The 17,418-nt window shown below is 39.6% G+C and overlaps 1 long non-coding RNA gene across 1 annotated transcript in view; it reads right to left on the bottom strand.

Annotated features, from left to right (window-relative positions):
• LINC02335 (long intergenic non-protein coding RNA 2335) overlaps window positions 1–16,769 on the bottom strand; it is a 128,930-nt gene extending 112,161 nt beyond the window's left edge. Inside the window, exons 1-2 of the long non-coding RNA NR_186625.1 lie at window positions 16,118–16,769; window positions 7,574–7,704 (exon numbers count right to left, since the gene is read on the bottom strand). This is a non-coding gene — a long non-coding RNA (long intergenic non-protein coding RNA 2335). The remainder of the gene's footprint in view (window positions 1–7,573; window positions 7,705–16,117) is intronic.
• Window positions 16,770–17,418: the final 649 nt, after the last annotated feature.

Here is a 17,418-nt window from a genome sequence, read left to right as displayed (position 1 = left end):
CTCTAAACCATCAGTAGTTTCATAGCACTACATACACACTTCTATTTTTCTCGTTGGGTTGCGATTTGTTCACATGACTTTTTTTTCCCACTAAACTATGAGTTTTTCGATGTGGAAACATTTTCTTAATGACCCACTCACCACACCATACTCACCACACACATGCTCAACAGCATTGTACTTAGTATCTAGGAAAAAGTAAGCTGTAGTAACATAGACATTTGTTGAATTAATTAAAAATAAATAAGTCATATTCTTGAAAAATTTAACATTAAAAAGTAAAGTCAAATTTCAGGTTATTTCTAGTTAGTATTTGTAGCCTACATAATTACTAGTTTTTGAAAGCCTTCTCTTTGAATATTTCTCCAAAAGCACTGTGTTGAGACCACTAATTATATTATTTGCCAAGCATATATTTACAAGTAATGAAAATAGTGCATCCTTATCCATACAGTTAATTTTCGCTATTCATCTGCAACTGAAGAATGTGAATAAAATTACAGTTGGACAATTTCTGAGACTTCATTTGACTAGACATATGGTTACTGCCAGGTTATAAATTCCAAGAGATGATGAAATGTCTAACTCCTTTTTGTGCAAGAACTAAAGCAGAGCCATACATAGGTATTTCTGCCATTAAAAGATGAATTTTGTAACCTAGCAATATAATCTGTGACTCACCTCTCTTAACCCAGTGCAGTTTTGAAATTATGTTATATAATATTCATCTTTTTCTTTCCTCACAATATTTCAAAATCCTCAAGGGCAAGGGATATGATTAATATGTAAAACAACAACCTACTTTAGCATTAATAGAGCTTAAAGTTGCTCATATTTTTTAATGGTTGCTACTTCTTTTCTCATGATTTCTAGTTGACTGGAAAAAAGTTTATGCATTGCAAATGCCAAATATCTCTCTGGAGACAAACTGGTCTTAATTTCTCTACACATAATCAACATAAACAATTATTTTTGTATCTCGCATATCTAACCAGCAACCCTTATCAATATGCCTATTTTGCCCATCATGGTTTAGTCCACTGTTATTTCCTTTTTGATGTCTCTGTTACTGATTTTATTTGCATTAAAATTGTATATATACATTTAAAATTTATTATAAAATTTAGAACATGATTTTTATAATTGTTATTTTTCCTTATCATAGACAATGTAAAGTTTCACCCCCATCATAAAAAAAGAAAGAAAATAGCAAATACAAATCAATAGTGGTATCCTCGGCACCTACATTATCTGTGACAGCTGACAACCAAGCTCCAGATAGTTTCACAGAAGAGGTCATATATCACATTAGTTTGGTAGAATGATTGGGTGAGGAAGTTGATGCTGAAATTTATCTGTTTTGTCCTTGTCTTCTTTCACTAGATCATAAGCACTTCGAGGACAAGGATAACAAGGAGTATGTCTTTTTCATTTCCTATCATCCATGAGTAATGTAGTGACTGGGATATAAAAGGTGTGTAAGACAAGTTTGTTAAATGAAACTATTGAACTAAGAATAGGCAAGAGGTTGTAACAGGAAGGAATCTGTCCGACATACGAAGGAGTGTGATTGAGCATATACTACTGCAAGTCAGTAAAGCAAAGAGATTCCAAGAAATGTGAAACCATCATTCAGTGCCACAGAAAATTAAAGTAAAATAAAAATAAAGAAGACAACTAGATTTTTGTAATTGAAGATTGTGTGTCTTTTTATATATTAATTGGACATGTGTGTTTCCTAGTCTTTGAAATGTATGTTTGTATTTCTCCTCCATTTTTTCCCCAGATTTTTATACCACTTTTATTGACTTGGGATGATTCTTTATGTATTTTTATATGAATCCTTTGATGGTTATATCTGTTTAAATTGCTTTCCCAGTTTATAACCTTTATATTTACTATCTTTAAGAGTGCTTTATTTTAATATGGTCAAATATATCAAACTTTTTTTTTTTACATCTTACTTATCAAATCCTTCCCTACATCAGGTCTAAAAATTATTCACCTACATTTCCTGAGAGTTTTAAAATATTATCTTTGCCAAGCAACACTTGAATCCATCTGGATTTGAATGTATATATTTCTACATTTCTATTTATGTATGTACATATCTTGGGAGTAAAATGATGAAGAATAAAACTAATCGAATATATTAGTATTTAATTCAAATAGTATTTCAGAAGTAAATAAGTTAATATGAGGTAAAAAGAGGCTTGCATAATCAATCAAAATAAGAATGGCAAAGGTCAGATTAAAACCAAATGATATTTATAAGAAATAACAAAAAGGAAACATTTGGTTCTTTATACAATTTTTATCTCAGAACCATATTTTCTGCACATTTGGAAGAATATCAACTAGCTTTAGCGTCATTACAAAAAAAGAAATAAACAGGCTTTAAGAATGAACTGTGCTGGCTCCAAACTGAAGTTACAATGCCACTAATGACATATAAATAAATGGTGGAGGGAAAGACTAATTTGGGAAAGAATATAGGCAGAACTTTGACACAGACAGCTTCAAAAAGACAAGTTAAAACTGCAAGTGGATCCAAAACATGAATTTGGATTTTGTAAAAATATGTACTTCCAGACATGAGTGTTTTTGAAATTTTAGGGTTTTTGCAAAGCAGTTGATTTCTCTCTTGACTCTAAATAGTGCAGTGGCATTAATAAATCATGTAATAATATAACAAATTTGCTTTACTTGTTTACCAATTAGTCAGTATAGATGTATGATGGAATAATAGCAGAGTTCACTATACTAATATTTGGGATAAGTTGGCCTGGAAGAGAAGAAAGAGCCCACAGGGATAGTATGTGGCTTATATTGTTCTCCACATTCTCTTAAAATCAAGCCTGCTCAAAGGCTAAGCAGAGGCAACTTTTATCTCTTTCTCTGTTCCTCTTTTTCAGCCTTTTTCAATTCCAAGTTATTTAAGCAGCACAACTGTCAGACTGGGATGAAGCTTCCAGTAAAAGACAAAAAAATTCTAGAAAAGAATGTGTCATCAAGATCTTGTCTTGTTTTATAAATACTCTTAATTTCTTAATATTTACATTTCAATATAATGTTAAATAATTTCAAATATGTTTGTCAATTTAAGGATAGCTACTACTATAAGAGAATAAAGGTTTTCAAGTGAGATGCAATATAGAATAATGGCTAAGAGACTGGACTCTGCAGCCTCCCTCACTCATTTATGAGCTAGGTAACTTGGATATGTTACTTAAATACCTCGTGCCTCAGGTTCTATCTCTGTAGAATGGGAGTAATAATGAAACCCAATTCATATGGTTATTGTAAAGATCAAATGAGTTAACATATGTAAACCACTTGGAAAAGAGGATGGAGTTAATTATTAAAATTTAATATATATTAACAATTATTAATAGAATATTTCATCATATATGAGGAAACCTGAAAGCAAAGATATGGTCAATTTTACTAAAGTCAGGAGAAGGGAAAGAAGAAAGATGATCACACGGATCTTAGATTACAAAGCAGGATTCAAACAGAACATATTTATAACCACAATAAAAATGAATATATGTTCCTATAATTTATCAATTTATTCATTCATTAATTTCACAAATATTTTGTATACTTGCCATTCCCAGGTATGAATATTCTCAGTACCATATTACATAGATTACTACTGTGCACAGAAAAATTTCTTATCATCATGGAATTTTGGATTTAACAGAGGAGACAGAACTGTGCTGCCTAATACGGTAACCAGCATCCACATGTGGCTTCTTTATTTTATATTTAAATGAATTAAAATGAAATAAAAGTAATAATTTAGTTTGCAGTCTCAGTAGCTACATTTCCAGTGCTCAATAGACATATGTGGTTAATGGCTACCACATTACCCCATGTGGTACATGATATAGAGCATATCATTCATTGCAAAACATGCTATTGGGCAATGCTAATATAGAAATAAACCAAGACAATTTCAGATTTGGGCTGTGAAGGAAATAAGGAATAGCAGTGTGATAGAAAATGACTGGCAACTTTTTAAAAACAAGAGCTGGGCTGAGTGACAGACAGGGAGGTCACCAAATGCTTTTGTGAAAAGATATACAAGCTGAAATCTGAATGATAACACTAGAACAACAAAGACAACAGTTTGTAAAAGTTCAGTCTGGGAAGAGGTAACACTGGGCAAATTCTAGGCAGAGTACACAGAGAAACTGACAATAAAGAGGAAGGCTTTGAAATACGCTCATGGTAAAATGAGAGATGAGGCATTGAGAAATATAGTTAGATATGTAGAAAGAGGCGAGATCAGCTGGGGCCAGGTGGGCCAGAGTAAGGAACTTGAATTTAATTCTTAATGCAATGTGAAGCCATCAAAAGTGTTTAAATAATTGAAGTTTCAAAACAAATAAACAAATCAATGAATAAACTTCCAAATGAGCTTTAAAAAAACAGCAATATTCTATTGTTAAGAAATTAAAATAAAAGTGACATGGCACCACTGATTATCATGTAATGGATAAAGCGCTAGACAATTGAATATGAAACTCAGAAAAAGGCATTGGTAGCAATATTGTTATGATAAATTGAAAACTATGGCAATAGAAGAGACTAAAAAGCAATATTTTATAATGATTAATATACAAGGTACAAATCATCAAGTTTCTCCCAAAATGTTTCATATAAAGCATTGCTGAGTATTGGAAAGGTTAACTATTTGGAACATAATAATTCAACACCCAAAGAATTCATAGTGTGGTATCTTAAAAGGTGATGGCATTTGTAGAGTTTTTTTAAAGAGTAATTAATGCTACATGAGGTCATATGAGTGGGCGCTAATCCAATCTGACTGGTGTTCTTATAAGAGGAGGAGATTAAGACACAGACATGAACACAGAAGACCATACGAAGACACAGGGAGAAAAAGAAGTCCAATTACACGTGAAGGAAAAGGGCCTCAGAAAAAATCAACCCTGTTGGCATCTTGATCTCAGACTTTTAGCCTCCTGAATTGTGAGAAAACAAATTTCTGTAGTTTAAGTCACTCAGTCTGTGACATTTTGTTATGGCAGCTCTAGCTAATTAATATAACTCTTTAACTCACTTGAATTTTAATAAAATCAGGTCATATCTTCCCCTAATCCTTCTCCCAAATCAGAGGCTATATATTGTAAATATATATATGTATATATATTTAATTAGAAGTTATTAAAAAATACATGCCTCCCCTAGAAATCAATGACAAAAATTTTGACGTTTTTATTTTTAATTAATATTAATAGTAGAAAAAATATTTTTAAAACAAGCAAAATATAAATTTAAAATTGATCCTTCCTACTATTTCTTTGAATATTCAGATACTCAGGATAAGGTTTGATTATTGTTCAGTTATTACTACTTATACGGGGATTCTTCGTATGACCCCTACAAGTGCTCTCCCATTAACACTCATATCATTTAGCTTTCAAAATGCTTCAAATAAGTGTATTTTACAAAAGTGGAACATAATCTATTTTATTTTGTAAGTATTTGAGGCTATATTTCAGAAATCCTATTAAGTTCATGCATATAAACCTCTTTTTTACAAATGAAACCTAGAAAGAATGGGTTTTTGAAGAAAACATAGCTTGTAATTAGTAAGTTGTAAATACAAAGTCTGTATTTTCCCAAAGTTTCTCTGTATTCATCATAATGTGATTCTGTTCATCCTTTTACAAATTAATTTATTTTCCTTGACAAGTAAAACTTGAATGTACTTATGCCACACAGCCTGATGTTTTGATATATGTATACATTATGGAATGGCTAAATCAAGCTATTTAAGTTGTCTCCCTTTTGAATGCATTTATGTAATAGTCAACTTGTATCACTGAATTTTCTTAATTGGTGTTTTTTCAGTGTTAGGAGTTCACACATAGAAAGAGTTGATGTCAAAAGGTCTCCTAGTTCATCCTTCAGGCTCTGAGCAGGAATCTATAAAAACCAACTCTGAAGAGATTTGGAATGAGAGAGCAGTACCACCTTGCATAAGAAATATTCACTGCTTTGTACTATTCACCTCCATTAAAACATGCATAATTATACTGCCTTTCATTGCAGATTTAAACCATTCATAGTTGAATCTGAAATAACATAATTTCATCCCGTGTCTACTTTATAAACAAAGTACATAAATGGATTAGCAAAATGAAATAGAAAATATCTCTACAGAGATTCATAACAAAAACAAAGTCTTTGAGAGGTCTATCTTTACCATTCATCCAATTTTTAATTAAGATATGCCTCCTAACTTGAAAGAGGCTCATTTGTAGCTCAGGTGCCACATCATTCTTAATTTACTCTTGCTTACAGTGCATATGCTATAAAGCATTATTATTGTAAAATAAACTAAGAAGAGAAAAAAGAAAAGCATACTAGATAATTTCACCTTTTTTTGGTTTTCATGTGAGTGGAGCAAATTACAAAATCTGTAGTTGCCAAAATGTGCACACACTTGTTAAAGGAGCAGCTGGTAATATTATATACAAGCTGCTCTCCAGAAATCAATTGTGAATATTAAGAATAATTCTGACCTGGGTCACAGCTGCACTGATTTATTTTTTCTCCTAGACATTTATCAGGCCTGTCTCTTCTTCCACCTAACTGAAACGCAGGAAGTCTTAGAGTTTATGATGAAAAATCTGCCAATGTATTATGAACCTATACAAGCAAGACATCTGCTTAAAAACCCATGCTTTGGGGTTTTTCATGATTGTAGTATGCCAAATTATGAACACCATATGAAGCACAGAATTGCTTTGGCTCACCTTCTCATTATAGGTAATTTTTTTTTTTTTTTGAGACGGAGTCTCGCTCTGTCGCCCAGGCTGGAGTGCAGTGGCGGGATCTCGGCTCACTGCAAGCTCCGCCTCCCGGGTTCACGCCATTCTCCTGCCTCAGCCTCCCAAGTAGCTGGGACTACAGGCGCCCGCCACTACGCCCGGCTAATTTTTTTGTATTTTTAGTAGAGACGGGGTTTCACCGTTTTAGCCAGGATGGTATCGATCTCCTGACCTCGTGATCCGCCCGCCTCGGCCTCCCAAAGTGCTGGGATTACAGGCGTGAGCCACCGCGCCCGGCCTATAGGTAATTTTTTTAAAAGACTCATCTAAGTGAACAGATTAAACAAAATTTAGTAGCATATATTGAATAGATCTAGTGATAATAGTAATTTGGTGTCTGGGCAAAAAGTTTGTATAAAGTATATTGCTTATTGGTGGCAACATAATCAAAAAAAATGATTTCTGGGGATTTTGACCCAAGTTACTTTCTATTTTTGTTTATGTGTTTTTAAACTTCATTTGTGATAAAGCAAGTGCAAGTAATTTTTTTGAAATAATAGATTTATTAGAGGCATATAAGTTTTATTTTACTATTTCTGATGCATAACAAAATATATGCTGACTTTCAAACTGTGAGTTTTGGCAATACTTCAATGTTGTGTTAATTCCTTCATATGTAAAATGAGAATTATAAGACAAATGTGATAGGATCTTTACAAGACCCACTAACAGTAGCGTAAAGCATATGGCATATAATAATTCCATACCTCACCAACGCTGTTTTTAACAGAATTTAAAGGCTGAAAGCAGTGGCCCCTGCGTATAATCCCCGCACTTTGAGGCCCAGGCAGGAAGATCACTTGAGGTCAGGAATTTGCAACACAGTGAGACTCCGCATCTACAAAAAAAGAGCACGAAAATTAGCTGGGTGTGGTGGTATGTGCTTGTAGATCTAGCTGCTGGAGAGGCTAAGGAGGAAGAGTCACCTAAGCCCAGGAGTTAGTGGCTGCGATGAGCTATAATTGTACCATGTACTCTAGCCTCAGCAACAGAGGGAGAACTCATCTCTAAAAGAACAAATAATTTATTTTTTTTTAAGTGCCATTACAAAATCATGTTTAAAAGCATGCTCACTGACTTCATTAAGCATTTAAATCCCGGCTCACAGTGCTATATTTTTCTTGTCAGTTTATTCTTTGACTTCCCACATTTTTCTTTTTTAAATACATTTTATTGTGTATAATTAAAGTATACAACATGATGTAAGGAGAAAATACCTATAGATAGTAAAATGATTACTATGTTGAAGTAACGTATCTATTATGTCACATAGTTATCCGTTCCTGTTTGTCTGTGTGTGTGTGTGTGTATGTATGTGGCAACAGCAGCATCTACTCATTTATTTAAAATCCTGAATACAATATACTCTTATAAACTATAGTTCTCATGTGGTACATCACAGCTTGAGACTTGTTCACTCTATGTAAATGCTACTTTATATCTTTTGACCTACGTCCTATATTTCTTCTAGCCTGCCTCTAATAACCACTCTTTATACTGTATCTCTGTATATTTGGCTTTTTCTGGGGTTCCACATATAAGTGAGATCATGCAATATTTTTCTTTCTGTGTCTGGATTATTTTACTTAACATTTTGTCCTCCACATTCATCCGTGTTGTAGCAAATGACAGGATTTTTTTTCTTTTGTAAGACAGAATCATATTCCATCATATATATGTACCAGTTTCTTTATCTATTCATCCATCAATGGCCACTAGGTTGTTTCCATATCTTGGCTATTGTGAAGCAATGTTGCAATGTACATGGGAGGGCAGTTATCTTTATGAGGTGGTGAATTCATTTCCTTTGGGTATATACCCAGAAGAGAATTTGCTCGGTCATATTGTAGTTCTATCTTTATTTGGGAACCTTCACACTTTTTTCCATAATGGCAGAACCAATCTACATCCCCAGAAACTGTGTACAAGGATTTCTTCTTCTCTACACTCTCACCAACACTTGTTATTGTTACCGGGGGTCCTTGCTCACAGAGCTCCCAAGATGGTGGCAAGCCGCTTCCAAGATAGTGGCAGGCCGCTTCCAAGATGGTGGCAAGCCTTGTGTTCTCTGACCTGGGGTTCTTGGCCTCACGGATTCCAAGGAATGGAATCTTGGATCATGTGGTGAGTGTTATAGCTCTATTAGAAGCTGTGGGTCATGGAAGAGAACCGTGGAACCCAGTGACTAGTGTTCAGCTCAATTAGGACGAACCCAGGCACTTAGCCGTGCAGGAACAATGGCAAGCCTTTAGCACGATCGGTAGTGGCAATGGGAGTCTCGCTGGATCAGGAGCACAGTGGACACCCTGCCAGATCTGGAGGGATGGGAGTCAGTGGCGGGATGGGAGTCAGGGGCGGGTCTGCGACAGTGGCAAACAGCAGTGGTGGACGGCGAGCGAAAAGCTCAGCTCGAGCCGTAACAAACATGGACGAGAAGAGTGCAGTTGCAAGATTTAACAGAGTGAAATAGAGTGAAAACAGAGCTCCCATAGGAAGGGAGGGGACCCAAAGGGGGTTGCTGTTGCCGGCTCGAATGTCTGGGTTCATATCCCGATCCTTGTCCCTCCCGCTGTGCTTTCAGGCAATAGATGATTGGCTATTTCTTTACCTCCTGTTTTTGCCTAGTTAGCATTTTAGTGAGCTCTCTGATTGGTTGGGTGTGAGTTAAGTTGCAAGCCCCATGTTTAAAGGTGGATGCGGTCACCTTCCCAGCTAGGCTTAGGGATTCTTAGTTGGCCTAGGAAATCCAACTAGTCCTGTCTCTCAGTCCCCCCTCTCAACAGGAAAACCCAAGTGCTGTTGGGGAAGTTGGCCAATGACTGCTCTGTTTCCTGCTGAATTGGGGCATAGTAGGGGTTGTGCAGTTGAGATTTCCTCAGGAGGGGTGCCTTCGATGTCATTAACATCGGAGCATGGGCTAGCAGGCCGGTCCAGGGGTCCGCAGTGGATCTTAGTCATGGACTGCATCTGGGGCTCCATTTGAAGAACAATTTGTAGTTTTACAGTTTTAATTCTGGAAGAGTCAAACTTAACAAGGAGGTTAAAGATACAGGGATTGAAATGTATGGCCTGCAGTGCAGGGGATTACTTCTTTGGCACACTTCACAGGCCCTGACTATCCGCTTGATAGTTTTGAAAGACCTGGTCTAGTAAATAATAATTTGGCCATCTGATGGGTGCTATCAATGCCAAAGTGAAAGGTTTGGTAAAGGGTTTTAAGTAATTTCTACTGGTTAGCTGCAGGCATAAGTATTTTTCCTTCTTTGGTGGCTGGCCATCCTGAGGGGAGGAAACTATGTCTTCATGAGGTTCCTCATTCTATTTTTTCTTCTGAGTACTGGGGCTTGGTTTCCTGGAGGGGATTACCCCATACTAGGGGTCCTCTATAAGCATTTCTAATGGAAGGTCCTGCCTTGCAGCTCTTTTGGCTTCAATATCTGCTTGGCAGTTCCCTTCTATTTCCCTTTCCTTTCCTTTCTGATGACCCCGGCAGTGTAAGACTGCCACCTCTTTAGGTTTCTGTACAGCCAATAATAATCTCCTAATGGCTTCCTGATGTAAGACTGCCACCTCTTTAGGTTTCTGTACAGCCAATAATAATCTCCTAATGGCTTCCTTGCAGCTCTTTTGGCTTCAATATCTGCTTGGCAGTTCCCTTCTATTTCCCTTTCCTTTCCTTTCTGATGACCCCGGCAGTGTAAGACTGCCACCTCTTTAGGTTTCTGTACAGCCAATAATAATCTCCTAATGGCTTCCTGATGTTTGATAGGTGTTCCCTCAGAAGTTAGGAATTCTCTTTCTCTCCATATTGCTGCATAGGCCTGGAGGACTAGGTAAGCATACTTAGAGTCTGTATATATATTTACCCTTTTCCCTTCTCCTAATTCTAGTGCCCGAGTGAGGGCTATTAGTTCTGCCAGCTGAGCACTAGTTCCTGGAGTGAGGGGATTATTTTCAAGTATTCCATTATCACTGACCACTGCATACCCCGCTTTTCAAAGTCCTTTTTCTACAAAGGAACTTCCATCAGTATACAAGTTGAGGTCAGGATCAGTCAAGGGAACCTCTAAAAGGTCCCCTCGAGTGGAGTTGGTTTGAGTAATTACTTGTTGACAGTTATGTTCTATCTTTTCTTCATTGTCTGGAAGAAATGTGGCTGGGTTAAGAGTTGCACAAGTGCGCAGTTGCAGCACTGGCCCTTCAAGTAAGAGCCTGATATTTAAGTAAATGGTTGTCTGACAGCCACAAGTCTCCTTTAGCACTGTGTATGCTGTTCACATCATGAGATGTCCACACAGTAAGATCTCCTGTATTATTTTAACTGCTGCAGATACTAAGACTGCTACTGCTGCCACTACCCATAAACAATGAGGCCAACCCTTTGCCACTACATCATTTTCCTTACTCAGATATGCCACGGGTTGCAAGCTCATCCCTCGGACCTGTGTAAGGACTCTTAAAGCTATTCCTGTTTCTTCTGTGACATATAAAGAAAAGTCTTGCCCCGTTGGCAAGCTTAACACTGGGGCTTGGGTTAGGGCCTATTTTAGGGCCTGGAAAGCTGCTTCTGCTTCAGGTGTCCATCTTACTAAATGGGTATTGGCTTTCTGAGTTTCCTTAATTAGTGTATATAATGGCCTGGCTATTTTGCTGTACCTGGGAATCCATATTCGGCAGAAGCCTGTTATGCCAAGGAACCCTCTTAGTTGCTTTATGGTTTTGGGATAAGGATAAGCCAGTTTAGGCTGGATACGTTCCTCACTGAGGGCCCTGGTGCCTTTGGATAATTTTAGCCCTAAGTATTTAACCTGCTGTGAGCAGAGCTGAGCCTTTAGTTTGGAAACCTTGTAGCCACAGGTAGCAAGGAAATTTAAGAGCGCTTGGGTGGCTTGATGGCACAAGGTTTCTGAATGGGTGGCTAAAATTAAATCATCCCCATACCGAAGGACAAGAGTGTCCATATATGAGAATTGGCTCAAGTCTTGGGCTAATGCCTGGTCAAATAGATGGGGGCTATCCTTGAACCCTTGAGTAAAACAGTCCAGGTGAGTTGAGACGTTGGGTTTGAAGGATCTTCAAAGGCAAACAAGAATTGAGAGTCAGGATGTACAGGGATGCAGAAAAAGGCATCCTTAAGGTCCAGGACTATAAACCACTCTGCTTCCTCTGGTATTTGGGAAAGCAGAGTATGAGGGCTAGGTACAGCTGGGTATAGAGGAACAACAGCCTCACTGATAATCCTGAGATCTTGCACTAACCTCTACTGTCTGTTGGGCTTCTGTACTCCTAAAATTGGAGTACTGCAGTGGCTATTGCATGCTTTTACTAGGCCTTGGGCTTTTAGGTCCTTAACAATCTTTTGGAGTCCTTGTTGGGCCTTGGGTCTGAGGGGGTAGGGAAAGGAGGCAGAATCCTTTAGTTTAACTTGAACAGGATGGGCATTCTTTGCTCATCTATATTGTCCTTCTGTTGCCTAGACTTTAGGATTAATTCCTTCCTCAAGCAGGGGACAACAAACAGGTGTTCCTTCTCCTATGTTCAGGTGTATAATGGCCCCTGCTTTTGCTGGAATGTCTCTCCCTAACAAGGGAGTGGGGCTTTCAGGTGTAATTAGAAAAACATGTGAAAAGAGTAAAGCTCCTCGGTCACAGCTTGGTGGGTGGGAGAAGTATCTAGTGACCGGCTGTCCTAGGACCCCTAGGATAGTGACAGATCTGGAGGACAGTTGTCCGGGACAGGAGAGTAAGACTGAGAAGGCCGTGCCAGTGTCCAGGAGACAGTTAACCTCCTGGCCCTCAATGTTCAAGCATATCAGGGGCTCTGTGAGGGTGATGGCATGGGCTGGCACTTGCCCCAGGCACCCTCAGTCCTGCTGCTGGATCATCTGGTTAGTGGCTTCTAACTCAGATGACCTTTGTCCCCTGGGGCAGTGGGCCTTCCAGTGATTCCTTTGACATAAGGGGCGTGGACTAGAGGGCAGCTTACTTCTACTTGGACAATCTTTTTTAAAGTGTCCTTGTAGACTGCACTGGAAGAAAGCCCTATCAGGCATTCAATTTGCCCAGCTTTTCCCTTTTCCAGAGACTCCAAAGTCCGCTTGCCTGAGGGCCATGACTAAAGTGGTGGCCTTTTATTTTTTTATCCCGTTAGTCCCATTCCGCCTGCTCCTCCTGATCTCTATTATAAAAAACTGAGGTTGCCAAGTTCAATAGGGTTTCTAAATTTTGCGCTGGGCCTAAGGTGGACTTTTGAAGTTTTTTTCTAATGTCTGCAGCTGACTGAGTGATAAACTTATCCTTTAAGATTAGTTGGCCTTCAATAGAGTCAGGTGACAGAGAGGTATGATTCCTCCATGCCTCCCTTAGTCTCTCCAGAAAGGCAGTAGGATTTTCTTCCTTTCCCTGTGTTATAGTGGACATCACTGAATAAATCATAGTCTTCTTAGTTTTCCTTAGTCCTTCTAGCATGCAAGTTAGCAAATGTCTGCGGCACCAATCTCCATGTTCTGATTCTGTGTCCCAGTGAGGGGCTACACTCGGAACTGCCTGCTGGCCTGTGGAGAATCATTCTCTTTCCTCTGTTGTCATCCTATCATTGACCTAACTGAGATACCAGATATTGCCAAACTCTCGGGCTGCAGTTGTGGCGGCACTTCTCTCATTTGGGGTTAATGTCTGATTTAGCAGTAACATTATATCTCTCCATGTCAGATCAAAAGATTGTCCTAACCCTTGTAAAACATCAATATAGCCATCAGGGTTATCTGAGAAGTTACCTAGGTCTATTTTAATTTGCTTTAAGTCTGAGAGAGAAAAAGGTACATGCACTCTGGCTGGGCCGAATTCTCCTCCTCCCACTGCTTGGAGGGGGCATAATCGGAATATTGGCACTGTTTGGTTCATTATTTATCCCTTTGTCTATCTCCTTTGAACCATTTGGGTAAAAGGGGGGTCCTTATTAGTTGGGGAAGGAGTCGGGGGGACACTGGGATAGGGAGGTAGACTCTGAGGGCTTCCTGTAGGGCATAAACCACATTTTTTACGTAATTATGAGTTGTCTCTTAATGAAAAGAAAGTTTGCACATATGGCACTTCACTCCATTTGCCCTCCTTTCTACAGAAGAGGTCTAGCTGTAAGATAGTGTTATAATTTATACTTCCCTCAGAAGGCCAGGTTTCTCCCTTTTAAGAGGGTATTGTGGCCAGGCAGTACTGCAGAAGACTATAAGTCATTTCTTTCTTAGCATCTGAGGGTCAAATTGGTCCTAATTCTCCAGAGTACATCTTAGGGGCATTTTTGCTTTGGGGTGGGGGGAACGTTTCCCATCTGAAAAAAGAACATAGGGATGCCAGCACCCCTAGTCATTTTCCGATAAGCATTAGTCCTAGAGCGTCCTCTAAGGGCCTAATGCTTATTCTTTTCCAGGGTGCGTAACCACCCATGGACCTCTGCTTATCAGATTAGTTATGCTCACCAATGTAGCAGCCCTGCACCTATTTTAGCGCCTCTCTTGACCACAAAGAGAGGGGTTCGGGCTGCAGGATTCTAGTGATCCTTTACCAGCGTGCCCAACATTGCCTTTGTGCTCAGGAGTGAGTCCTAGAGCTGGGCCGGGTTCCCGAGTATTTCATAACAACCCAGCTGCCCCATGAAGATGCATCCCCATAAACAATAGTTCTTATGCAAATTCATTCCAGAGAGGATGTAGCGAATCTTTGGAGTCAGGATTGAGGTAGTGTTTTGATTCTGTAAGTACTTTAAGGCTTGGCTGAGTGCAAACAGCTCGCACGTTTGAGGAGACCAATTGTTAAGCAATTTTTCTAGCTCTGCTTCCACAAGAGTCTCTGTATCAATTACTGAATACACATTGTGGTTTTTTTCCTTAATCACCTGGGAGGAACCATCTACCATCCTGTCCTGAAGGGAGTTCCTCCTAGGTCTGGTCAGACCTTTGTATGGTAATTAAGATTTAAATCCCCTGTTAGGAAATCTGCTGGGTTAAGGGAATTATCAGTGGTTGGAGTTACATTACCCTTTTCTAAAATAATAGCCCCATACTTTAAGATTTTTGAGTTAGTAAGCTACCTTTGCTTTTTTTTTTTTTTTTTTTTTTTTTTTGACTTAGAATAATTCTGAACTGGTAAGGTGTGCTCACAACGAGGTTTCCTCTAAAAGTTACTTTTCTACTTTTAGCAAAGCAGTTGCCGCTACCGACTGAATGCATTTGGCCATCCGTGGGTTACTGGGTTAAGGATTTTTGATAGGAAAGCTATGGGTTGTCAGTGGCCTCAGTGCTTTCGGGCTACGCCCTTATTTACACTGACAACAAAGTGGCATTGGAGTGTTATAGGATCATGGAGAAGACCTTCAATTATCAATTACAGGTTTTAAATTTACCCTGGCTTTTAAAGGAATAGGGCACACTTTTCTTTTTACTATTTCTATCTTTTTCTTTCTTTCTCTTTGACTCCGTCTTTGTCTCTCTCTCTGTCTCTCTCTCTCTCTCTGTCTCTCTCTCTCCATCTCTCTCTGTCTCTCTCTCTCTCTCTCTCCATCTGTCTCTCTCTCTCCATCTCTCTCTTAGCCATTACAGACTTGGGCCCCTGGCAAGGGTGGTGGGGAATGGGTCCCACATAACTGCCCATGTCGAGAGCTGTATACCTAAATCGGGAGGGACACCAGGGATAAGACTCCCTGGGTTACAGCCTAGATGCCTAAGGACACAGCATAGAGCTTCCTGAGATCCCTTTGGAGATACAACTTGCTAGAGGAAATGAAAGTCTGAACCATTAGTACCTAGGACGCAAGGATCAGAGGAAGTAGATTCAGAGGTAAGGAGAATTTGGGGGCTATGCTTTCAAGAAAGTCATGGTCGGGACCCAGGAGGTATGGATCAGAAGGGAAAGGTAGGGGCGCACGGATGGGCATCTACTGAGTAGAGAATTCTGGCTGCGCCATGATCTCAACCGGCTACTGCCAGGAGTTCGGGATGACAGCTTTCTGCCTCTAGTCGGCCCTCGGCTTCCCCATGAAAATTGAAAGTGGAAGCTGCTCCGACCAGACCAACGTCCCCAAGCCAGAAGGGTTGGGGGTTGTTAGAAAGCCCTTCGCCAGATAGTCTCACACCTGAGTCTTAAGTCCGGCGGCCATGCTAATCGTTTTTAACTGGTCGACAGGTGCCCGGTATTTTCCTCCAATTCCAAGGAAGGATAGGACAGAATAGCAAGCGAAAGTGGTCCAATATTACTCACCGCTTTGGAGGTCACTTCGTGGTCACCAAAATGTTACCTGAGGCCCTTGCTCACAGAGTTCCCAAGATGGTGGCAAGCCGCTTCCAAGATGGTGGTGGGCCGCTTCCAAGATGGTGGCAAGCTTTGTGTTCTCTGACCCGGGATTCTTGGCCTCACGGATTCCAAGGAATGGAATCTTGGATCATGCAGTGAGTGTTATAGCTCTATTAGAAGCTGTGGGTCATGGAAGAGAACCGTGGAACCCAGTGACTAGTGTTCAGCTCAATTAGGACGAACCCAGGCACTTAGCCGTGCAGGAACAATGGCAAGCCTTTAGCAAAATCAGGAGTGGCAACCGGAGTCTTGCTGGATCAGGAGCACAGCGGACACCCTGCCGGATCTGGAGGGATGGGAGTCAGTGGCGGGATGGGAGTCAGGGGCGGGTCTACGACAGTGGCAAACAGCAGTGGTGGACGGCGAGCGAAAAGCTCAGCTCGAGCCGTAACAAACATGGACGAGAAGAGTGCAGTGCAAGATTTAATAGAGTGAAATAGAGTGAAAACAAAGCTCCCATAGGAAGGAGGGGACCCAAAGGGGGTTGCTGTTGCCGGCTCGAATGCCTGGGTTTATATCCCGATCCTTGTCCCTCCTGCTGTGCTCTCAGGCAATAGATGATTGGCTATTTCTTTACCTCCTGTTTTTGCCTAATTAGCATTTTAGTGAGCTCTCTGATTGGTTGGGTGTGAGTTAAGTTGCAAGCCCCGTGTTTAAAGGTGGATGCGGTCACCTTCCCAGCTAGGCTTAGGGATTCTTAGTCGGCCTAGGAAATCCAGCTAGTCCTGTCTCTCATTATCTCTTATCTTTTTGATGACAACTGTCTTAATAGGTATGTGGTGGCATCTCATAGTATTTCTAATTTGTGTTTTCCTGATGATTACTGATGTTGAGTATCTTCTCATATACTTGTTCGCCATTTTTATGTCTTTGGTATGTGTATTCAAGGCCCACACAACATTTCTTAATGTTCATTCTCTCTTTTACACATTCTCTATTCATTCCCAGATCCTGAGCCGGCAAACATTGCCCTCCGTTCAGGATATAATGGTATTGTTTTCACAGTTTTAAAAAAATAGCGTTAGGTGGGCTCTTCCTTGACCATTTACTATCAGTCACTAAAATTGCCTGTACTCTCATTCTGTTCCTCCTTTCCTCCCTGTATTTTTGGAATATCTGCCCTGCCTTTCACTGATGGACATTACTTCTACTAGAGTTATCACCTCCTCTCATTTTCCTCTCTGCTGACCTCATTATGCTTGCATTAA

This window comes from Homo sapiens, chromosome 13, assembly GCF_000001405.40.
Source record: "Homo sapiens chromosome 13, GRCh38.p14 Primary Assembly".
Lineage (NCBI taxonomy): Eukaryota > Metazoa > Chordata > Mammalia > Primates > Hominidae > Homo > Homo sapiens.
The sequence above is the reverse complement of the archived record's forward strand: the minus strand, read 5'-3'. Positions and strand labels throughout refer to the sequence as shown.